Source organism: Homo sapiens, chromosome 20 (assembly GCF_000001405.40).
Source record: "Homo sapiens chromosome 20, GRCh38.p14 Primary Assembly".
Classification (NCBI taxonomy): domain Eukaryota; kingdom Metazoa; phylum Chordata; class Mammalia; order Primates; family Hominidae; genus Homo; species Homo sapiens.
This window is the reverse complement of record NC_000020.11, coordinates 53759237-53783154: the sequence shown is the minus strand read 5'-3', so window position 1 is coordinate 53783154 and position 23918 is coordinate 53759237. Positions and strand designations below refer to the sequence as shown.

Sequence of the window (23918 nt, the reverse complement as noted above, 5' to 3'; positions counted from 1 at the left end):
AATTTCCATTGTTAATAACCAGTGTTGGTAACATATAGAAGAAAGCACTCTTATATACTGATGTTAGAAATGTAAATTAGCACAATTTTCTGAGAGCCAGCTTGGCAGTGTATATCAAATGGCTTGAAGTCTTTTTTGTTTTATTGGGCAATTCCACTTCTGGGAATTTATCCTAAAAAAAATAAGAATGCGTGCAAATATATATAGACAATGCTATTCACCTCATTGATGTAATAGTATAAACATGAAATCATGGAGACATAATCAATAGAGATGTATGGGATTGATACACCCATCCCTGGAATAGTGTGCAGTGGTTAAAAAATTATCTTGCAGAAAAGTATTTGTCGGAAATTTTTCATCACAACAAAAGTTGAGATAAATTTCGCAAACACTGTGTGTGATGTGACATCTGTGAGGCTGCTGTGCCTACAGGTAAACATGGGCACTGGGATGGCCTGGGTTCAAATCCCAGCTCTGACACATGATGTAGAAGCCCTACGACACAACCTTTCCCACTGTAAAGTGGTCATAATAGCATTCCTTTCTTTCAGAAGCCAAGATAAATGAGAAAAAGCACAGTGGGCTTGGCACAACCTCAGAGAGATCTTGGCTTTGTTTGTTTTTTTTGTTTTGTTTTGGGGTTTTTTTTCGGGGCGGGGGTTGTTTGTTTTTTGTTTTGAGACAGGGTCTCACTCTGTCTCCCACACTAGAGTGCAATGGCATGATCTCAGCTTGCTACAACCTCTGCCTCCCAGCCTCAAGCAATTCTTCTGCCTCAGCCTCCCAAATAGCTGGGACTACAGGTGCGCACCACCGTGCCTGGCTAATTTTTGTATTTTTGGTAGTGACAGGGTTTTACCATGTTGGCCAGGCTGGTCTTGAACTCCTGGCCTCAAGCGATTCTCCCACCTCGGCCTCCCAAAGTGCTGGGATTACAGGCGTGAGCCACCGTGCCTGGCCTAGTTTGTTTGTTTGTTTGTTTGTTTGTTTGAGACGGAGTTTCGCTCTTGTTGACCAGGCTGGAGTGCAATGGCACGATCTCGGCTCCCTGCAACCTGCACTTCCCAGGTTCAAGCAATTCTCCTTCCTCAGCCTCCTGAGTAGGTGGGATTACAAGCACCTGCCACCACCATGCCTCGCTAATTTTTTTTGTATTTTTAGTAGAGTCGGGGTTTCACCATGTTGGCCAGGCTGGTCTTGAACTCCTGACTTCAGGTGATCTGCCCGCCTCGGTCTCCCAAAGTGCTGGGATTACAGGTGTGAGCCACCGTACCCAGCCTTGTTTGTTTTTAAATAATGATTTTACATATACTGTTCTAAATGCTGGCCTTATTTTCACTATTAATCTTGATCTATATTTGTATTCTCTGAAAATAAAGATCACTATTAACAGTGGTTGTTTTGCAGATACAGGGTTTTTGGTAATTTTTTTTCTTTTCATTTATCAGTGTTTGCTAAACATTCTCTCTAAACTCACACTAGTTTTGTTATTAATAACTGTATATCAACCAGAGGTAGAATTTATTTGCATATTTTTCCTCTGGGATATTTTTCCTTTCTTATGTTTTTCCATTAAATACAGATTAAAATGTTTAAAGTTAAAAAATCTTAAAGGTAAATACAGAATTAGAACATAATTCAGCAATCCCACTCCTAGATATATATATCTAAAAGAATTGAAAACTGGGACTCAGATATTTGTACATCAGTATTTATATCCACATCATTCCCAATAGTCAAAAGGTAGAAACAACCCAAATATCCATCATTAGATTAATGAATTAACAAAAACGCAGTACATATATATAATGAAACATTATTCAACATTAAAATGCTACAACATGACCAGCATGGTGGCTCACGCCTGTTATCCCAACACTTTGGGAGGCCGAGGGAGGCGGATCACTTGAGGTCAGAAGTTCGAGACCAGCCTGGCCAATCTGGTGAAACCCCATCTCTACTAAAAATACAAAAATTAGCCGGGCATGGTGGCATGCACCTGTAATCCCAGCTCCTCAGGAGGCTGAGGAAGGAGAATCACTGGAAGCTGGGAGGCAGATGTTGCAGATTGTGCCGCTGCACTCCAGCCTGGGTGACAGAGTGAGACTCAGTCTCAAAAGATAAATAAAATAAAATGCTACAACATGGATGAACCTTGAGGACATTATGCCAACTGAAATAATATTTAAATTTTTTGCCAATATTTCAAAATAAAAAGCTGTGATATAAAAACCTAGTTTCCAGGCTTTTCTTGAAAAATTAAGGCTGGGTGCGGTGGCTCATGCCTATAATCCCGGCACTTTGGGAGGCCGAGGCAGGAGGATTGCTTGAGTCCAGGAGTTCAAGACCAGCCTGGGCAACATAGTAGGACCTAGCCTGTACAAAAAATAAACAAAATTAGCTGGGCGTGGTGGTGCGTCTGTAGCCCCAGCTACTTGAGAGGCTGAGGTGGGAGGATCGCTTGAGTCCAAGAGGTTGAGGTTGCAGTGAGCTGAGATCACACCACTGCACTCCAGCCTGGGCAACAGAGCGAGACTCTGTCTCAAAAAAAAAAAAGAATGAAAGAAAGAAAAAGGCCGGGCGTGGTGGCTCATGCCTGTAATCCCAGCACTCTGGGAGACCGAGGTGGGCAGATCACCTGAGGTCGGTAGTTCAAGACCAGCCGATCAACATGGTGAAACCCCATCTCTAATACAAATACAAAAAAATTAGCCGGGCGTGGTGGTGCATGCCTGTAATCTCAGCTACTCAGGAGGCTGAGGCAGGAGAATCGCTTGAACCCGGGAGGCGGAGGTTGCAGTGAGCCAAGATCGCGCCATTGTACTGCAGCCTGGGCAACACGAGCAAAACTGTCTCAAGAGAAAAAAGAAAGAAAGAAAAAGAAAATTAGAAGATTGGACACACCCTGGGCCTCCATGAAAACTAAAAGCTACAGGAAATATCCTTTATGTTATGTTACCTAATTCATAGCCTTTGTCACACTGTGGTACAAACTATGTGTTAGCCTGTCTCTGTACCTCTAGTCTAATGAGGATATTTTGAGGGTATCCCCTCATTCCTCTCATCCCAGTTCCTGACACAAAGGATAAATGTTTGTTGAAAAACGAATGGTTGGAAATTACAGTTGGTTTCAAATACATAATTAGTTGAAGCTAAGTCAACTTAAAGACAGAAGGCTCTATTTTGTTAATAAAGGTGTCAGCAAGGCATAGCACTACATAGTTGGTAAGAACATAAATCAGTCATCTTTGGAGGACTTCTGTGAGGTCTGTCAACATTTTAAAGCTGCATACTCTTTGACCTGATTATTCTGTTTAGAGGAATTATCAGACAGATACAATAGCATATGGGCATTTGCACACAAAGCTATGAACAAGAATAATTATAGCAATATTATTTGTAGAAGCTGGCAGCAATCTGAATGTCTATCAATAGGGGACTGAGTAAATAAGTGATCTATCTGTACAGGAGAATACAGTATTCTGCAGCTCGAAAGAGTCTATCTGTGCAGATACACAACTATCTCCATGGTTAGGTAAAAAAGACGAGATGTAGAAATATGTGCAGTGTAGCCCCCATTTGTGTATGAAAGGGTGTGTGTGCCTCTGTGTGTGCATGCGCACTTATATTTGCTAATATATGTGTAAAGCAAGGTTTCTCAACCTTAGCACTGCTGACATTTTGCACCAGATAATTTTTTGCTACGGGCAGCTGTCCTGTGCAAGATTTCCTGTAACTGCTTGTCTGTGGAGATGAAAACTAAGAGATCACAACCAAAAAGACAGAGGGAAACCATTTTCACCTGTCGAAATTTTAACTTTTTTTTTTTTTTTTGAGACAGAGTTTTGCTCTTGTCCCCCAGGCAGGAGTGTAATGGCACGATCTTGGCTCACTGCAACCTCCGCCTCCTGGGTTCAAGCTATTCTCCTGCCTCAGCGTCCCAAGTAGCTGGGATTACAGGCATGCGCCACCACGCCCGGCTAATTTTTTTGTATTTTTAGTAGAGACGGGGTTCCTCCATGTTGGTCAGGCTGGTCTCGAACTCCCGACCTCAGATGATCACCTGCCTCGGCTTCCCAAAGTGCTGGGATTACAGGCATAAGCCACGGTGTCTGGCCTGAAATTTTAACTTTTAGAACATGAATATTATAAAACAGTTTCATTTACATTTTACTGTGGTGTTCAGATACCTCCAGGACCACTTAAGAAAATACGAAAAACTCTACATGTTGGCAAGGAATTCCCTTCTCTCTTTTTGGTCTATTTATTAAAATAACTACATAAACCATAGATTACATGATCTCATCCAATTTGCCCCTTTGCCAGGTGGGAAAACTGATTCCAGAAAAGGAAAAAGTCCCGGCTGGGCGTGGTGGCTCATTCCTGTAATCCCAGCACTTTGGGAGGCCAAGGTGGGCATATCACTTGAGGCCAGGAGTTTGAGAACAGCCTGGCCAACATGGCGAAACCCCGTCTCTGCTAAAAATAAAAAACCTAGCAGGGCATGGTGTTGAGTGCCTGTAATCCCAGCCACTAGGGAGGCTGAGGCAGGAGGATTGCTTGAACCCGGGAGGTGGAGGTTACAGTGAGCCGAGATCACGCCACTACACTCCAGCTTTGGTGACAGTAAGTCTCCATCTCAAAAAAAAAAAAAAGTCCTAAGGCCATCGATGATGGGTGATCAAACCACAGCTAGCACCCGGATCCCCCAAGCCCCAGGCTTGCTGGGACTTGCACATCTAGGTCTCCACTATAGAAAGCAGACCTTTACCATGAGCTAGCAACTCAAGAAAATGACGCCTGTCACCCCGAGGCAGAACGACAGCTGCTTCCCAGCCAGCCAATGTCTATCTTTGTTCTGGGACATTTGAAGTTGTGCAATGATGGCTTCGCTCCAGCCTAGAGACCTGGCAGGTGCCTCGTTTTATCTGGAAACTTTGCCTTTGCTGTGGCCGACTGACAGTCCTCAAGGCAACTTCCATGTTCCCTGGGGGAAAGAACTCGATTGTTCTAGTTTCCAGCAGGCATTCATCTCTTGTTGGATCAGCTATCAACTGGGTTATGAAGAACAAATATGGCTTCCAGGGACTCCCTTTAGCTGTGGACTCAGTGGACTCAGGGCAGGGGTAGAAGAACGATTGTGAGCTGAGGTGGAAACTTTGCATCTAATCTCACCTTTTTGTCCACAAGAGGGTCACAGTCTCTGTGCTGTTCACCTGCTGATTAATCTTTTGGTGAATTATCTAGGAATTGTAAGTAATATTTGTATGGTGCTATAGAAAGTGCTTCCGCCTGCAATCATATTGTCATAGAAACCCTACCAGAAAAACTATGAACACACGCTTTACAGATGAGGATATAGCTTCAGAAAGGTGCATTAACCTTACCCACCATCACACAGTTAAATGATGAAGTGAGGTGTGGAAACCAAGATCGACTGAGTCTTTGTCCTTTAAGATCCTTCATGGAAATCTCACCATTCACCAGAAAGAATCCTATTAAAATAATGGCCGGGCTCAGTGGCTCACGCCTGTAATCCCAACACTTTGGGAAGCCGAGGAGGGTGGACCACCTGAGGTCAGGAGTTCAAAACCAGCCTGGCCAACAGGGTGAAATCCCATCTCTACTAAAAATACAAAACTTAGCTGGACATGGTGGCAAACGCCTGTAATCCCAGCTACTCAGGAGACTGAAGCGCAAGAATCACTTGAACCTGGGAGGCGGAGGTTGCAGTGAGCTGAGATCACACCACTGTACTCCACCGTGAGTAAGAGAGTGAGACTCAGTCTCAGATAAATAAATAAATAAATAATAACCTCCTAATTAAGAATTTTAAAAAAAATTTTTTTTGAGACAAAGTCTCACTGTTCACTGTGTCACCCAGGCTGGAGTGCAGTGATGATCATAGTTCATTGCAGCCTTTAACTCCTAGGCTTAAGCAATCCTCCCACCTCAGCCTCCGGAGTAGCTGGGAATACAGGTGTGCACCACCATCCCTGGCTAATTATTTTAACTTTCGTTTTTGTAGAGATGGAGTCTGGCTGTGTTGCCCAGGCTGGTCTCAAACTCCTGGACTAGGATCCTTCTGTCTCAGCCTCCCAAAGTGCTGAGATTTACAGGAGTGAGCCACCGCACCTGGCCTAAATTTTTGTTTTGTTTCCTTTTGTTTTGTTTGAGACAGAGTCTCGCTCTGTCATCCAGGCTGGAGTGCGGTGGTACCAGTCTCAGCTTACTGCAACCTCTGCTTCCCAGGCTCAAGAGATCCTCCCACCTCAGGCTCCCAAGTAGATGGGACCACAGGTGTGCACCAGCACACCTGGCTAACTTTTTGTATTAAAAAAAATACAAAAACTAGAGACGGGGTATTTCCATGTTGCCCAGGCTGGTCTTGAACTCCTGGGCTCAAGCAATCTGGCCACCTCAGCCTCCCAGAGTGTGGAAATTACAGGCATGAGCCACCGTGGCGGCCTCTGAATTTGTTTTAAGCCACTAAGTTTGTGGCAATCTCTTACAGTAGCAATAGGAAACTAATAGAGTAGCTTATTTCATCCTCAACCATTCTATGAGGTATGCCGTATTCTCCCCATCTTGCACAAGAAAAAGGCTCAGTAAAAGTTAAGACCACTGTCCAAGGTCCCAGCTAGAAAGTGGTGGTGGTGCTTAAAATTAATCCCAAGTTTTTCTGAAGTTCAAGCCCAAGCTTTCATTATGCCTCCCAGTTATCTAGGGTTATTTCACTTCCACCTGTGTGCTCCCAGGAAATAGCCTTACTTCTCTTTTGTTTTTTGTTTTTTTTTCTGAGACAGAGTCTCGCTCTGTCACCCAGGCTGGAGTGCAGTGGTGGCTCCATCTCGGCTCATTGCAACCTCTGCCTCCCGGGTTCAAGCAATTCTCCTGCCTCAGCCTGCCACCACTTCTGGCTAATTTTTGTATTTTTAGTAGAGACAGGGTTTCACTATATAGGCCAGGCTGATCTCGAACTCCTGACCTTGTGATTTGCCTGCCTCGGCCTCCCAAAGTGCTGGGATTACAGGCGTGAGCCACCTCGCCCGGCCATAGCCTTAACTTCTTGAAGTAACTCTCTCAAGCGGCTGAACAGATTCACCGTGTCTTCCATCTACTGAGCTACTCTCTACTGTGCTCTGATATAGCTACGACACTTTTGGTTGTACATGAAGAAACCTAGTTGAACTAGCAGAAGTAAAAAGGGAGAATTTATAACAAGAACAAAAAGATATCTCATGAAGCCCAAGTCCAGGAAGGTGATTAGGCCTTAGGAAGGACTGAAACCAGGAGATGGGAAGCTAAAAAGAACCTGACCAGGCTGGGCATGGTGGCTGAATGCCTGTAATCCCAGTGTTTTGGGAGGCTGAGGCAGGAGGCCAGGGATTCAAGATCAGCGTTAGCAACATAGAAAGTTCCTATATCTACAACAAAATAAGTAAATGAACAAAATAAAATAATCCAACCAGCAAGACCTTCTGTTTTTCTTCTTTTTTTTTTTTTCCTTTGAGATGGAGTCTTGCTCTGTCACCCAGGCTGGAGTGCAATGTGCAATCTCAGCTCACTGCAACCTCCGCCTCCCGGATTCAAGCGATTCTCCTGCCTCAGCCTCCCAAGTAGCTGGAATTACAGGCATGCGCCACCACATCCGGCTAATTTTTGTATTTTTAATAGAGACGGTGTTTCAACCTGTTGGCCAGGCTGGTCTCAAACTCCTGACCTCAGGTGATCTGCCCGCCTCAACCTCCCAAAGTGCTGGGATTACAGGTGTGAGCCACCATGCCCGGCCTGGCCTTCTGCTTTTCCATTCCTGCTTCTCTGCATCTTGGCCTCATTCTTTTCACTGTAGATTGACTTTCTCTGTCGGTGCATTGTCATGGTGGAAAATGTCTACCTTTGTGCTCAGATTTATACCTTACAGATCCAACTATTCAAAGAGGCCGACTGACAGTCCTCAAGGCAACTTCCATGTTCCCTGGGGTAGAGAACTCGATTGTTTTGGTTTCCAGCAGGCATTCATCTCTTGTTGGATCAGCTATCAACAGGGTTATGAAGAACAAATATGGCTTCCAGGGACTCCCCTTAGCTGAGACAGTGGACTCAGGGCAGGGATACAAGAAACACTGAGCCGAGCTGATATCGCAAAAGATAAGTACCTCACATTTATTTTCTCCAAGTTTTGCCAAAAAGCAATAGAGATAATAAGGCACCTTCTTCCACACGGAAGACCTTCAGTGGTTTCCCAAAGCTTTCTTCCCTTGTGGTCATCTCTTTTCCTGGGAAACTCCCTAAATCCTTCAGCCATTCCTCATTATGACATAGTTCCCAGATCACTCATCAACTCGCCTCTTCCCCTACCGCCCCCTCAACCTATGAAACTTTGGCAGGATCCTCATTAAAAATTGTACTTTGTTTCCATAACGAACCTCCATTCTGCAAACATGGGTTGCCTAGCTCATTCAAATTGTTTTCTTTCTTTATTGTCCTTGGAGCCCACAAGGCATATCCTGACTCCATTAATGCAGCCTAAGATTCTTTGCTTGTCGGCAGCTGTATGCATCTGGCTCAAATTGAACTTGTGGCCAACGAGAAGCCCCAGAACTACTTCCCAGGAACTGCTGTCTGGCCAAGTCTCCCCATTCCCAGAAGTGAATAATTGATGCCAGAATCCACATCAATCCCTGGTAAATGCTCTCTTATTTCTTCCAATCCTTCATTTGAAGCTATGGAGACCATTGTGAATCTTGATCCTGTAATACCAATATTTTGTCTCCTAGAAATTGCATCTGAAAACCTTAATTCTTTAGTCCTGAATCAAAATGATATCCAGGATAGATCAAAGACAGGGTCCCAGGGCACACCCCTGGAGACCTTCTAGGTTTCCATGACTCTATTAATCAACATCAAATAACTGAAAATGTACTGCCAGTATTTTATGAACCTTTCATTCCTGGAACAGGAAAGGTGGCTGCCCAAATTCCTCAAATATTTTAGATGTTTAATTTTTATAAGGACAGAGAACATCTAGTATGATTATAATCTAGGGCATTAAGACTATGGGAAGCCTCTGAAAATCTTCTTTAATTTGGATGAATCATAATAACTGTCACTGAGTAAGCACTTACTAGGATTACTGAATTTACTTCTCACATCAACCCAGAGGAATTCATATTTCCATTTTATAAGTGTGTAACCAAGGTTACACAGAAGTCAGTTGGTGGAGCTGGAATTTGAACACAGGCTGTTGATTCATAGCCTAAATGTTTAAGCCTTACACCACGGGTGGATTTTTTTTTTTTTCTGTAAAGGATCAGACAGTAAATATTTTAGTCATTGGAGCCCATCCAGTCTCTGCCATTGTAGAGTAAAAGCAATCAGAGACAATATATAAATGAGTGTAGCTGTGTTCAAATTAAAAATCTTATTTATAAAAACAGGCAGTGTGACAGGTTTGGCCCCCAGACTGGAGTTTGCTAGGCCATCTTAGAATGTTCTTGCTTCCCCATCTGCATAGCAAAATCCTACTCAAATATGCAGCTCAAACATGATCTTTAAGTTACAAAACTAGGCAGCAACCTGGATTGACCTGTGGGCTGACCTCTGCCCTACACCAGCATGCCTCCCGACTTTGGATCTCACTGAAGAACTGTGAGGCTAAATGGAAATCCGAATCAGAGCCAGCAAGACTGACACCTTTCCCTTTTTTTTTTTTTTTTTTTGAGACGGAGTCTCCCACTATTGCCAGGCTGGAGTACAATGGTGTGATCTCGGCTCACTGCAACCTCTACCTCCCAGGTTCAAGCAATTCTCCTGCCTCAGCCTCCTGAGTAGCTGAGACAACAGGTGCACGCCACCAGGTCCAGTTAGTTTTTGTATTTTTAGTAGAGATGGGGTTTCACCATGTTGGCCAGGATGGTCGCGATCTCTTGACCTCATGATCCGCTCGCCTTGGCCTCCCAAAGTGCTGGGATTATAGGCATGAGCCACTGCACCTGGCCAACACCTTTTAAAATACATAAAGATTCACTCATTCTCTTTTTTTTTTCGTTTTTTTGTTTGTTTGTTTGTTTGGTTGTTTTTTCAGACAGAGTCTCACTCTGTCACCCAGTCTGAAGGGCAGTGGTACAATCTCAGCTCACTGCAGCCTCCGCCTCCCAAGTTCAAGTGATTCTCATGCCTCAGCCTCCCGGGTAGCTGGGATTACAGGCGTGTGACACCATGCCTGGCTAATTTTTGTAGTTTGGGTAGAGAAGGGGTTTTACCATGTTAGCCAGGCTGGTCTCAAACTCCTGATCTCGCACCCGCCGTGGCCTCCCAGAGTGCTGGGATAACAGGCGTGAGCCACCGCGCCCAGCCCAATCATTTTCTATTTAATACTTCCCTGAACAGTAGTGATTCCCTGTGAGGCTGTTTTGCTACCTTTTCCAAAAACTCCCCAAAATAAATTAATAAATTTATAACAATCCAACACATGCACACGCACACACACACCTGTGCTCTGAGTCCTGGCATATGTTTTCAGGCACCAAGAGCTTCCTAGCAGCCATGCATTTGTGTCCTGTAGCAGAAGTTTGTTCCCAAAGTGCTGGAAGTATCAGTTTGTGATTTGCCAGGATGAAAAAGGCAGTACGGAGGTGTCTTACTGGATGTTAGGATGCAAGCATTCAAGGATATGGTCCAGGAATCAGAGAGTAAAGATTAATTCAGGCTTAATGGAGGAGGTTGTAACCAATCCTGCAACCAGAAAAGAAGTCACACACAATTGTGAAGAGTAAGTGAAAGATACCAGGACCAGGCTGAGCGCTGAGGCTCACGCCTGTCATCCCAGGACTTTGGGAGGCTGAGGCGGGCAGATCACCTGAGGTCAGGAGTTAGAGACCAGCCTGGCCAACATGGCAAAACCCCGTCTCTACTAAAAATACAAAAAAATTAGCCGGGCGTGGTGGCAGTCGCCTGCAGTCCCAGCTACTCGGGAGGCTAAGGCAGGAGAATCACTTGAAGCCTGGAGGCGGAGGCTGCAGTGTGCTGAGATCACGCCATTGCACACTCCAGCCTGGGCAACAGAGCAGGACTCCGTATCAAAAAAAAAAAAAAAAAAAGATATGAGGACCAAAGCCCCATTATGAACTCGAGCAACTTGAAAAGAACAAAACAGGCATTTAATGCTGGTCCAGAGAAGACTACTGTTTCTAGAGACACTAATTTTCTTGTTAATGGGAAATGCAAACATTTGCAATTCACTGTGCACTTTGCAGGAAGACTATAATAGGCCAGCTTGTATGAATTTAACCTATATGTTTCAGTGTCAACAGTTTCCAGGCAAGCTGTGCGGGGATGGTTTAAAATTTTAAAATAGAGAAAATATAAACAGTAACAATTGAATGTTTTTAAAGACACAAGAAGGAAGCATAGGTCATAATAACAGAAGCCCTGGGCATCTTTTAGCATGATTTTTTGTATTTTTAATGCTAAAAAAGATTTATTTGTTGCCGAATAGCTTTAACAGAAGTGCTATGGCAGAGTGGTTAAGAAAACAGGAGCTAAAATTAGACAGATATTGCCGAGCACAGTAGCTCACACCTGTAATTCCAGCACTTTGGGAGGCTGAGGCGGGTGGATCACCTGAGGTCAGGAGTTCGAGACCAGCCTGGCCAACATGGTGAAATCCTGTCTCTATTAAAAATTCCAAAAATTACCCAGACGTGGTGGTGCGTGCCTGTAATCCCAGTTACTCAGGAGGCTGAGGCAGAAGAATCACTTCAACCCAGGAGGCAGAGGTTGCAGTGAGCCGAGATTGTGCCACTGCACTCCAGCCTGGGCAACAGAGCGAGACTCCGTCTCTTAAAAAAAAAAGACCTTAAATTCTAGATCAGTGCAATTTTGCCCCCTTGCCCCAGAAGACATTTGGTAATATCTGGAGACATTTTTTATTGTCCAGCTGGCGGGGGGCAAGGAGAAGCTGCTGGTGGCATCCAGTGAGTGAAGGCCGGGGACACACTACATACAGACCCTGTCAGGCACAGAACGGCCCCTGGAACAAAAAGTTACCTGGTCCCAACTGTCAATAGTGTTGAGAGTGACAGCTCCTATTCTACCCTGTTCTAGAAGGGGAGGGGAAAAACAATGCTAGAATTAAATAGAAAAGACAATTCCAGATACTGCTCAGTGCTGCGAAGCCACTGAAGCAGGGCAGGGGACATCAGGGAAGGCTCCTGGAGGAAGTGACATTTTTGCTGAACAGGAACAGTTAGAAAAGAGCCAGGCAGGCCAGGCGCGGTGGCTCATACCTGTAATCCCAACACTTTGGGAGGTCGAGGCAGGTAGATCACGAGGTCAGGAGATTAACACCATCCTGGCCAACATGGTGAAACCCCATCTCTACTAAAAATACAAAAATTAGATGGGTGTGGTGGTGCGAACCTGTAGTCCCAGCTACTCGGGAGGTTGAGGCATGAGAATCACTTGAACCCAGGAGACAGAGGTTGCAGTGAGCTGAGATCCCGCCACTGCACTCCAGCCTGGCAACAGAGCAAGATTCTGTCTCAAAAAAAAAAAAAAAAAAAAAAAAAAAAGAGCCAGGCAAAGCTCTGGGGGCAGAACTGTAGAGGCCCAGGGAAAAGCAAGGGCAAAAAACCCTGAGGCCAGACCAAGTTGCAGTGAACAGAGGCAGATGCACGTGCGCTACCATGCCCAGCTAATTTTTGTATTTTTAGTAGAGATGGGGTTTTACCATGTTAAGAAAATAAAATATCCAGTTCTCCCCAGTCATTCCCAGGGTGATTAAGGTGGGGAAGGGTCAGAGTGAGCTGGCAATTTTGATGTTTGAAAGTTCTGGCTGGGCACAGTGGCTCAAACCTGTAAACCCAGCACTTTGGGAGGCCAAGGCGGGCAGACCACTTGAGCCGAAGAGTTTGAGACCAGCCTGACCAACATGGTGAAACCTCATCTCTATTTTAAAAAATACAGCCGGACACGATGGCTCACACCTGTAATCCCATCACTTTGAGAGGCCCAGGCGGGTGGATCACTTGAGGTCAGGAGTTTGAGACCAGACTGGCCAACATGGTGAAACCTTGTCTCTATTAAAAACAGAAAAATTAGCCGGGCATGGTGGTGCACGCCTGTAATCCCGGCTACTTGGGAGGCTGAGGCAGGAGAATTGCTTGAACCTGGGGGATGGAAGTTGCAGCAAGCCGAGATTGCACCACTGCACTTCAGCCTGAGCAACAGAGAAAGACTCTGTCTCAAAAGAATATGTGTGTGTGTGTGTGTATATATATATATATGTGTGTGTGTATATATGTGTGTGTGTATATATATATGTGTGTATATATATGTGTGTGTGTATATATATGTATATATGTGTGTGTGTGTGTGTGTGTGTGTGTGTGTGTGTGTGTATCTCTCTAGAATCCTGGTTTGGTGGCACACATCTGTAGTCCCAACTACTCAGGAGGTTGAGGTGGGAGGATGGCTTGAGACTGGGAGGTTGAGGCTGCAGTGAGCCGAGACTGCAGCACTGCACTCTAGCGTGGGCAGCAGAGTGAGACCCTGTCTCAAAAGAAAGTTCTGGATGAAGAAAACCAAGATTTAACAAGGGCAAAAGAGCAATAAAAATGATTCCAATTTTTGGAAGCTTACAAGAACCATCGTTGTACCAAAATTATCCTATATGAGATATTAGAAAACCAAAAAACTAGTTCAAATAAGAAAAAAATTCTGTAAAATATAGAAATCTACTTAGGAGTCTGATGCGGGCATATGCAGTTGATTGTCAGCCCTGTCTACCACGGAGGAGCCACATTAAACAAGGCATTAACTGTAGTCCACGTCAAGCTACTTCCAAGTGGCTGTTTAAAGATTTTTAAACATAGGGGATATTGTTTATGAAATGTAATCTGATCACCCAAGCAAAAATGACACAAATTCCACAGCAACTGCAGAGATTAAAGAAGTGTTTTAAGGACAAACTCCACATGAATCCCTTATCTAGCACCCGTCTTGTAAATTTACTCACCAAATAAGAGCTTTCAGGAGAGACGCTAAGGGATAAAGACAATTCACTCTTCAGAGAAAGACTTTCAGTGGACTTTGAAATTCCACTTTCAAATTGAGGCATAAACACCACTAAACCTGTGGGATTAAAAGACATAGTAAGGCATTATTATGTTTTTTACAGAGCCTAAAAATAATATTAATGTAATAATAACAGCAGCTGTATAATGAAAAGAGGCTCCGATAAAATTACAAAAAAATACAAATTTAAAAAAAAATAATAACAGCAGCGGACATTTCCTGAGCTAAGTGTTTTCTACTTATTAACTCTAATTGTCAAAGGGATTTATCATCTTCCTTTTGTAGATGAGGGCAATGGGGTCTCCCAGGGGGGTGTGTGGCTTGCCCCAAAATGCACAGCTATTGAACAATGTCCAGGCTCTGACAGGGGCAGGTCAGTGCTAAGTCAGTCTCCAAACTATGTTCCTTGTCGCATCTTGAGTAAGTTAATTCAGTGCCTCCCGGCATGGGGGAGAGAACAATGTAGAGATCACTTTCAGAGACTAATAATAACAACTAGCCTTAATTGAGCACCTGCTGTGTGCTCCATTCCAAGGCTAAGTGCTTTCACTCAGATCATCTCATCTGATTTTCATGATAAGCCTAGGAGTAGGTACTTCTATTATTTTCACTCGACAGCTGAGGGACCTAGGGCTCAGGTAGGTTCAGTAACTTAGCTAAGGTTACACATCCACGAAGGGCCAAAACCAGATATGAAACCCTGTAGTCAGATCTACCTGTCTACATGTTTAGCCAATACACTACAGTGAGGCAAATGGAAAAGAAATCACAAGTAGACGGGGTAGGTTAGAAGTTTGGATGCAACTCAGACATAGTCTCATTGCATCCCATGTATATTTCTCTTCACAGCAAATTGAAAATGGTGATTAACTGCAACCAAATTAAAATTTATATAATGAGTTGAACTCTTTCAGGAGTTTTCTCTGTTTTTCTGTTGATACCTCTCTATATTTTAAGGCAATGTCACTTTGCTTTGCTTACAAATATATTGAATATGTCAAGATTACTATTTTGTTATTACCTTTGTGAATTTCCTTGTCTATTTTGCTGGCTTGTTCTTCCAGATGAAATTTATTATTTGATTAATGTTGCCAAAAATGGTAAGAAAAATATCAATTATAGTAATAAAATGTTTTGTGGGGAAAGCATGGTAATTAAATGATTAGTTGTGAAAGTATTTCTTTGGTGTGTGCTTCCATTTGATTAGATTGTAAGACTTTTATCTGCCTTGGTGTCTCATTCCCGGTGTCTGTCACAGAGTTTGCACATAGCCAATGCTCCACTGGTATCTTTTAACAGGTTTGGGGGACTTGGGGCTTGTTTTGGTTTTGGTTTTGGTTTTGGTTTGAGTAAATGAAGCAATCATTGGAAAGGTGTAGGGGAAGTGCAAAGAGCCATAGGACCAGGGAATCCGAAATCATGGTTCCAAACTAGAAAGCAAGCACTTTCACTTTTTTCTTTCAAAATTTCTTTCTTCCAGAAACTTAATCCTAGCACAATTTTGATCACTAGGCCAAAATCATTCTACATGTCTGTCTTAGTCCCTTTGGGCTACCGTAACAAAATACCATAGACTGGGTAGCTTAGAGCAACAGACATTGATTTCTCCCAGTTCTAGAAGCTGGAAGTCAGAGAACAGAATGTCAGCATCTGGTATCCTGATCTCTGACTCCCACTGACCTCTGGGTACTACCATCAGGCTCTGGTGACAGCCGGCTTCCAGGCTGCAGACTGCCAACGTGGCAGAAAGGGAAAGTTCCCTGGGATTGCCTTTATAAGGGCACTAATCCCACGCATGAGGGCTCCACTCTCATGACCTCACCACCTCCCAAAGATCCCCACCTTCAAATACCAACACATTAGGGATTAAGATTTCAACAGATGAATTTGGAGGGAAAACAAACATTCAGTCCATCGCTATGTCCGCCATCAAAGAAAGAAACTCGGAAACACTCAAATGGTTACTTCCCACACACTCAGCTTCCAACCTTCAGCACCATTGGGTTTATTTTATTTTATTTATTTATTTATTCATTTATTTTTTTGAGATGGAGTCTCACACTCTCGCCTGGGCTGGAGTGCAATGGCGCAATCTCGGCTGACTGCAACCTCCACCTCCCGGGTTCAAGCAACTCTCCTGCCTCAGCCTCCTGAGTAGCTGGGATTACAGGTGCCCACCACCACGCCCGGCTAATTTGTTGTATTTTTAGTAGAGACGAGGTTTCACTATGTTGGCCAGGCTGGTCTCGAACTCCTGACCTCGTGATCTGCCCGCCTCAGCCTCCCAAAGTGCTGGGATTACAGGCATGAGCCACCTCGCCCAGCATCATTGGGTTTACTTAGGATAAAAATATAATTGTTAACTTCTCAAGGAGTTACACCTTGGGGGGTGCCGTTCCATTTATTAGTACCTTGGATGTTAATCTTGTTGGTTGGCACGAGGGGGGATCTTATGGTGCATCGGGGTCACACTTAGATTCTTACCGACCTAGCTTCCCTCTCTGCTCCTTGTGTCACTCAAGCATCTTAAGTCAGACTAAAAGTGACCGTGTAGAATAACAAAAGGCTACAGATTTGAAGAGCACAGTCTGCAGTAATCTTACTTGGCCATGGTAGATGATACGGCCCGCTGGTTAAGTCTTGGAGGCAGACTTAAGACAAGAAGCTCAAGGCTGAGTAACTGGGAAGTTCATGCCTCCTCCATCCACCATGCTGGAGAAATAAATGTAGACAGAAGCAAATCCAAATGAACGTCCTTCTCTTGGTAGGACTGCAGTCTTCGATTTTCAAGTCTAATACGCCCAGCTTCAAAATCTGGGTCTGCCACGGGACAAACTTCGGCAGCTTCCTTTACTTCTCTAAGCCTTGTGTGTATGGGAATAACATAATAGGGCCTCTTTCAGAATTCTGGAGTCAACCGGGCATGGTGGCTCACACCTGTAATCCCAGCACTTTGGGAGGCCAAGACGGGCAGATCACTTGAGATCAGAGTTCGAGACCAGCCTGGCCAACATGGTGAAACCTGTCTCTGCTAAAAATACAAAAATTAGCTGGGTATGGTGGTGAGAACCTGTAATCCCAGCTGCTCGGGAGGCTGATGCAGGAGAATCACTTGAGCTGGGAAGTGGAGGGTGCAGTTAGCCAAGATTGCACCACTGCACTCCAGCCTGGGCAACAGAATGAGACCCTGTCTCTCAAGAAAAAAAAAAAAAAAAGCCAGGCATGCTGGTTCATGCCTGTAATTCCAGCACTTTGGGAGGCTGAGGTGGGAGGATCATCTGAAGTCAGGAGTTTGAGACCAGCCTGGCCAACATGGTGAGACCCTGTCTCTACTAAAAAAAAAAAAAAAAAAAAAATACAAAAATTAACTGGGTGTGGTGGTGGGCGCCTGTAATCTCAGCTACTCGGGAGGCCGAGGCAAGGAATTGCTTGAACCCAGGAGGCGGAGGTTGTAGTGAGCTGACATCCCACCACTGCATTCCAGCCTGGGCGACTGAGCGAGACTCGGTCTCAAAAAAAAAAAAAAAAAGTTGGAGTCAAGTTTAAATAAGATAAAGATTATAAAGCCCTGGCCGGGTGCAGTGGCTCAAGCCTGTAATCCCAGCACTTTGGGAAGCCGAGGCAGGCAGATCACCTGAGGTCAGGAGTTTGAGACCAGCTTGGCCAACGTGGTGAAACCTCATCTCTACTAAAAATACAAAAATTAGCCAGGCATGGTGGTGGGTGCCTGTAATCCCAGCTACTTGGGAGGCTGAGGCAGGAGAATTGCTTGAACCCAGGAGGTGGAGGTTGCAGTGAACCGAGATCGTGCCATTGCACTCTAGCCTGGGTGACAAGAGCGAAAACTCTGTCTCAAAAAAAAAAAGTCCGGGCGCGGTGGCTCACGCCTGTAATCCCAGCACTTTGGGAGGCCGAGGCGGGCGGATCACGAGGTCAAGAGATTGAGACCATCCTGGCTAACACAGTGAAACCCCGTATAAAAAATTAGCTGGGCGTGGTGGAGGGCGCCTGTAGTCCCAGCTACTCGGGAGGCTGAGGCAGGAGAACAGCATGAACCCGAGAGGCAGAGCTCGCAGTGAGCCGAGATCCCGCTACTGCACTCCAGCCTGGACGACAGAGCAAGACTCCGTCTCAAAAAAAAAAAAAAAAAAATTATAAAGCATTTAGTGCAATGGCTAAAAAAAAAAGTGCTTGATAAATTGATTGCTACTATTAGTGTTATGATTATTAGTGACACAGAATATAGCCAGCTATTTATTTATAGAAAGAGGTCCCAAACTTTATGTAACACAGAAATCTTCACTTTCCTTTTGTGTCTTTTTCTTCCCTCAAAGAAAAAAAACAAATTTTTAGCCAAAACAAAAATGATGGAACAGCTCAGAGTTGGTACAATACAATTTACTTCTTAGGTTCTCATGTTTATACTGGGGAGATACTAGTGTATTTATCAATGCCTTAAGCAAAGAGAAGTGCAGCATAGACTAAGTGGCACCCTCATTTTCATTTTATATCTCTTTCTTCAGCCCACCCTCCTAATGATCGCGTGTATATTTTAGGTACATCTCTTCTGTATAAATCCTCCCACCCCCACTTTTTGTAAGCATGAAGATTAAGTGGACAAAGACAAATTCAATTAAGCTGTAAGCTTTGGTGACCAGCAGCTATTTTTCTTGAGAAACTGAATCCAAACATCTCAGGGGTGGGGACGAGCTTGCAATGCGCTTCTGAATGCAAAGGAGGCAGGACTTGAGCATAAATCACGCGACAAACTGAGCCCTCCTCTATTAATCTTTTCTTCAGAAAAAGACACTGTTTTAAGGGGAAATTAAAGGCAATCAATAAGCAGGCTCGCCTGCACGGCTTCTGAGCTCAAGATGCAAATATCATTCCAAATTCTGGATTCCAAAGAGACCCCTCCATTGATATGTTAATCGTCTCCTCGTGTTTCTATGACCTCAGATCCTGGCAGGGCATGAAGCCATACTTACAGGAAACAAAAGGAAAGCACGTTGTAGAACAAACATTTGCTAAGTGGACTTTGACTGTAAACCCCAACTTGTCATGTGCTAAAGGATGGAATTCTCCACGAGCCAGGGGCTGATGCCCTGAATGTTTAATATGTTTACATGTTTAAAGAGCTGCCATGACGTATTCTTTATCTGGTATCACCTGACATCTCGGCTTCATATTCATGGTGCACAAGACAGCAAAGGTTTTGGTGCTGTCATCCCAAATAAAGACAACTTTTGGCAATTGGAAATAAAATTCAGTTGCCTACAAATCAAAGATGACTGCAACCAAATGTTGATTACCTGTTTATAAATTCACCAAGTCAACAGCAAATTCAGAGACTACTTATTTGGCACCGATTGTAGGCAAGATATTGGGCTAGGGCACTGCGGATACACAGATGAACATGTTTGACAAGAAGGTTATGTTTTTAGGGGCAGGTAGGCAATATACAATCTAAAAAATAACAATAAATTGGGTTTGGGTGAGTGCTATGAAGAATAAAACCAGATCGTGAAAAAGAGAATAACTAGGGGTGGAGAGGGGGTAGAGGAGGTCCTTCCTGAAAAAATCATGTAGGTACAGAAATTCAAGGAGGTCAGGCAGTAACAGGTAGTCTGCAGAGGTGACATTCCAGACACAGGGACAGTAAGTGCCAAGGTCTTGAGGTAGACAAGGGCTTGTGTTTGAGAATCAGAAAGCAGCCAATGTAGCTAACCTGTGGTGGATGAGATTGTGGCTTACCCTCAAGAAAGAGCCAGCTCCTACAGCATCATGAAGGTAGCAATACTTTATGAGAATCAAGTTCAATATTCAAAAAAAAATAGCCAGGCACAGTGGCTCATGCCTGTAATCCCAGCACTTTGGGAGGCCAAGGCGGGAGGATCATTTGAGGTCAGGAGTTCAAGACCAGCCTGGCCATCATGGTGAAACCCTGTCTCTACTAAAATTAGCTGGGCGTGGTGACACACTCCTGTAGTCCCAACTACTCGGTAGGCTGAGGCAAGAGAATCACTTGAACCCTGGAGGAGGAGGTTGCAATGAGCCGAGATCGCGCCACTGCACTCCAGCCAGGGCAGACAGAGTGAGACTCTGTCTCAAAAATAAATAAATAAATAAATAAACAAATAAAGTTTTCCCATCAGTAAAGATGCATATCTCTTCTCCAATCCTGAACACTCTAAAAGAATCTCAAAGGTTGACCAAGCATATATTTTTGAAGAGTTTGAGGCAGGGCATGGTGGCTCACCCCTGTAATCTCAGCACTTTGGGAGGCCAAGACGGGAGACTCACTTGAGATCAGGAATTAGAGGCCAGCCAGAGCAAGATCCCGTCTCTTCAAAAAATTCTTTAAAATTAGCCACGCATGGGGCAGGGTGCGGTGTCTCACACCTGTAATCCCAGCACTTTGGGAGGCCAAAGCGGGCAGATCACAAGGTCAGGAGATCAAGACCATCCTGGCCAACATGATGAAACCCCCTCTCTACTAAAATACAAAAAATTAGCGTGCCTGGACTACATGCCTGTAGTCCTTGCTACTCGGAAGGCTGAGGCAGGGGAATTGCTTGAACCCAGGAGGCGGAGGTTGCGGTGAGCCGAGATCACGCCACTGCACTCTAGCCTGGCAACAGAGCAAGACTCCGTCTCAAAAAAATAAAATAAAATTAGACACGCTTGGTGGTGCATGTAGTCCCGGCTACTCAGGAGGCTGAGGAGGGGGGATCACTTGAGGCCAGGAGTTCGAGACTGCAGGGAGTTATGATTGCACCACTGCACTCCACCCTGGACAACAGAGTGAGACCCTGTCAGGGAAAAAAAAAAAAAAAGGACAAAGGTGGGCACTAACATTTGACCCATTTTCCCATTCAGGCACATGTCTATAAACCAGAGATTCTCACCCAGGGGTGAGTTTGCCTTGAGAGAAACACTGGGCAAAGGTCAAAGGCATGTTTTTCTGTCGCCTCCTGGAACATGGGGTACGTGTTACTAGTATGTAATGAGCAGAGGCCAGAGAAGCTGTTTAACATCCTACAGTGCACAGGATGGCCCCTCAACAAAGGATGGCCTCTCCCAGAATTTGAATATAATAGAAACCCTGCCATAGAGCAAAAGCTCCTTGTAAGGAGAAGGTTCTCGGCCGGGTGCGGTGGCTCACGCCTGTAATCCCAGCACTTTGGGAGGCCGAGGTAGGCAGATCACAAAGTCAGGAGTTCGAGACCAGCCTGGCCAATATGGTGAAACCCTGTCTCTACTAAAAATACAAAAATTAGCTGGGCGTGGTGGATCCCAGCTACTCCAGAGGCTGAGGCAGGAGAATTGCTTGAACCCGGGAGGCGGAGGTTGCAGTGAGCCAAGATCGCGCTACTACACTCTAGCCTGGGCAACAGAGCAAGACTGCATCTCAAAAACAAAAAAGAAGCAACTTCTCTGTAAGGGCACAGTGTGATGTCTTCCTTCTCTGCCACACTATGGGCCTAGTGATATTCATCCTACTGCCTTCTGAGGCCACCCAATGATGTGCCATAGTATAGTAGCACTGGGGTCACAGACTAAGGGCTGGGAAGGATATGATGGGAACAGAAGCAAATAGAAGTGTTAACTGAGGCTTTACTCACACCAGGCCCTGAACTAACTTCTTTACATCAATGTAATCATTATCCTCAAGACAGCCCTGCAAAGTAGGTACTTTTTTTTTTTTTTTTTTTTTTTTTTGAGACAGTCTCACTCTGTCATCCAGGCTGGAGTGCAGTGGCATGATCTCAGCTCACTGCAAACTTCTGACTCCCAGGTTCAAGTGATTCTCTGCCTCAGCCTCCTGAGTAGGATTACAGGCGCCTGCTACTATGCCCAGCTAATTTTTGTATTTTTAGTAGAGACGGGGTTTCACCATCTTGGCCAGGCTAGTCTTGAACTCCTGACCTCAGATGATCCACCCGCCTCGACCTCCCAAAGTACTGGGATTACAGCCGTGAGCCACCATGCCCAGCCAGTAGGTACTGTTTTTATGCACATTTTACAGATGAGGAAGTTGAGGCTCAGGGACATTAATATCACACTTCAAGGAATTAGGAATTTGGGGATTCTAACCCAGGGTGCCTGAACTCTTCATTTCTCCTCTTCATTAATATTCTGTGAAAAGCTCTGAGTGTTTGCCTTTAAAAAGCAATCAAGGCCCGGCACAGTGGCTCACGCCTGTAATCCTAGCACTTTGGGAGGACGAGGCAGGTGGATCACAAGGTCAGGAGTTCAAAACCAGCCTGGCCAAGATGGTGAAACCCCGTCTCTACTAAAAATACAAAAATTAGCTGGGCACAGTGGCAGGAGCCTGTAATCCCAGCTACTCGGGAGGCTGAGGCAGGAGAATTGCTTGAACCCAGGCGGCAGAGGTTGCAGTGAGCCAAGATCACGCCACTGCACTCCAGCCTGGGCAACAGAGTGAGACTCCACCTAAAAAAAAAAAAAAAAAAAAAGCAATCAAATGGGCTTCCCTTGCCCCTAACAGTGAGCAATTGGAGTCCAATATGCCTTAACTATCAGGTTTGCCAATGTGCTACGATTGTTCTGCTCAGACTATGAAGCGAATGTATCAATTCCAAGTGGTGCCATTGCATTCATTTTTGTTGCAAAATATTTGACTGGGCTATGAATATTTTCCCTCAACTCGACCCTTTTATTTACCTGCCAAATCCATGGTTCCTCCAAGAGTCTCCTCTGTGGAGGCAAATACAAATGACAGTGAAATCTCGATTCACTGGAAACAGGTTATACAAAGCCTACCTTCTTCTCTTTCTTATTTTTGGCCTTGTGCCCCATTTTTAGAAATAATGTAAATCACAAGAAAATAACCTAATATTTAAAATTTATTTTTAAACCACAACCAAAGAAACTCCACTTTGGGGAAGTCTTGAGGTTCACATAAGTGCAGCTCAAACTGCTGCAAGTTCACGGAACTCAACCTGCGTCATTGGACCCAGAGCTGTTGCTCTGGTCAGACCACCAATCATTACAGAGATACTCAATTATGTTTGGACACTTACTAAGGAAGCAAAGATTCTGAAATGCTTAAAGGCTTTCAAATGACACGGAATGATGTTCAAGATTTCTACATATTCTTGGCCGGGCACGGTGGCTCACTCCTGTAATCCTAGCACTTTGGGAGGCTGAGGAGGGCAGATTGCCTGAGTTCAGGAGTTCGAGACCACCCTGGGCAACATGGTGAGACCCTGTCTCTACTAAAAAAAAAAAAAAAAAAAAAAACTGTGACTCTGCTGAAATACAACAACAACAAAAAATGGCCAGTTGGCCGGGAGCGGTGGCTCATGCCTGTAATCCCAGCATTTTGGGAGGCCGAGGCGGGTGGATCACGAGGTAGGAGATCGAGACCATCCTGGCTAACACGGTGAAACCCCGTTTCTATTAAAAATACAAAAAATTAGCCGGGCGAGGTGGCGAGCGCCTGTAGTCCCAGCTACTCGGGAGGCTGAGGCAGGAGAAAGGCGTGAACCCCGGGGGGCGGAACCTGCCGTGAGCCGAGATCGCGCCACTGCCCTCCAGCCTGTGCGACAGCGAGACTCCGTCTCAAAAAAAAAAAAAAAAAAAAAACCGGCCAGTTGCAGTGGCTCACGCCTGTAATCCCAGCACTTTGGGAGGCCGAGACGGGTGAATTACAAAGTCAAGAGATCAAGGCCATCCTGGCCAACATGGTGAAACCTCGTCTCTACTAAAAACACAAAAAAATTAGCCGGGCGTGGTGGCGGGCGACTGCAGTCCCAGCTACTCGGGAGGCTGAGGCAGGAGAATGGCGTGACCCCGGGAGGCGGAGCTTG

At 44.8% G+C, this 23918-nt stretch overlaps 5 annotated features.

The window, feature by feature from the left end:
- Positions 3159 to 3359: a silencer, noted in NCBI's record as "peak4272 fragment used in MPRA reporter construct". NCBI's record gives its function as "represses an SCP1 promoter by STARR-seq MPRAs in K562 erythroleukemia cells {active_cell/tissue: K562}" and the evidence as "EXISTENCE:reporter gene assay evidence [ECO:0000049][PMID:32103011]".
- Positions 7868 to 9067: an enhancer, noted in NCBI's record as "P300/CBP strongly-dependent group 1 enhancer chr20:52390627-52391826 (GRCh37/hg19 assembly coordinates)". NCBI's record gives its function as "activates an origin of replication core promoter dependent on BRD2, BRD4, P300/CBP, MED14 and CDK7 cofactors, with strong dependence on P300/CBP, by STARR-seq in HCT116 cells {active_cell/tissue: HCT116}" and the evidence as "EXISTENCE:reporter gene assay evidence [ECO:0000049][PMID:35650434]".
- Positions 14418 to 15014: an enhancer, noted in NCBI's record as "OCT4-NANOG hESC enhancer chr20:52384680-52385276 (GRCh37/hg19 assembly coordinates)". NCBI's record gives its function as "activates a minimal SCP1, AML or CMV promoter by ChIP-STARR-seq in naive H9 embryonic stem cells {active_cell/tissue: H9 hESC(naive)}" and the evidence as "EXISTENCE:reporter gene assay evidence [ECO:0000049][PMID:30033119]".
- Positions 15337 to 15506: an enhancer, noted in NCBI's record as "active region_18136". NCBI's record gives its function as "activates an Ori minimal core promoter by ATAC-STARR-seq in GM12878 lymphoblastoid cells {active_cell/tissue: GM12878}" and the evidence as "EXISTENCE:reporter gene assay evidence [ECO:0000049][PMID:35858748]".
- Positions 19708 to 20374: an enhancer, noted in NCBI's record as "H3K27ac hESC enhancer chr20:52379320-52379986 (GRCh37/hg19 assembly coordinates)". NCBI's record gives its function as "activates a minimal SCP1, AML or CMV promoter by ChIP-STARR-seq in naive H9 embryonic stem cells {active_cell/tissue: H9 hESC(naive)}" and the evidence as "EXISTENCE:reporter gene assay evidence [ECO:0000049][PMID:30033119]".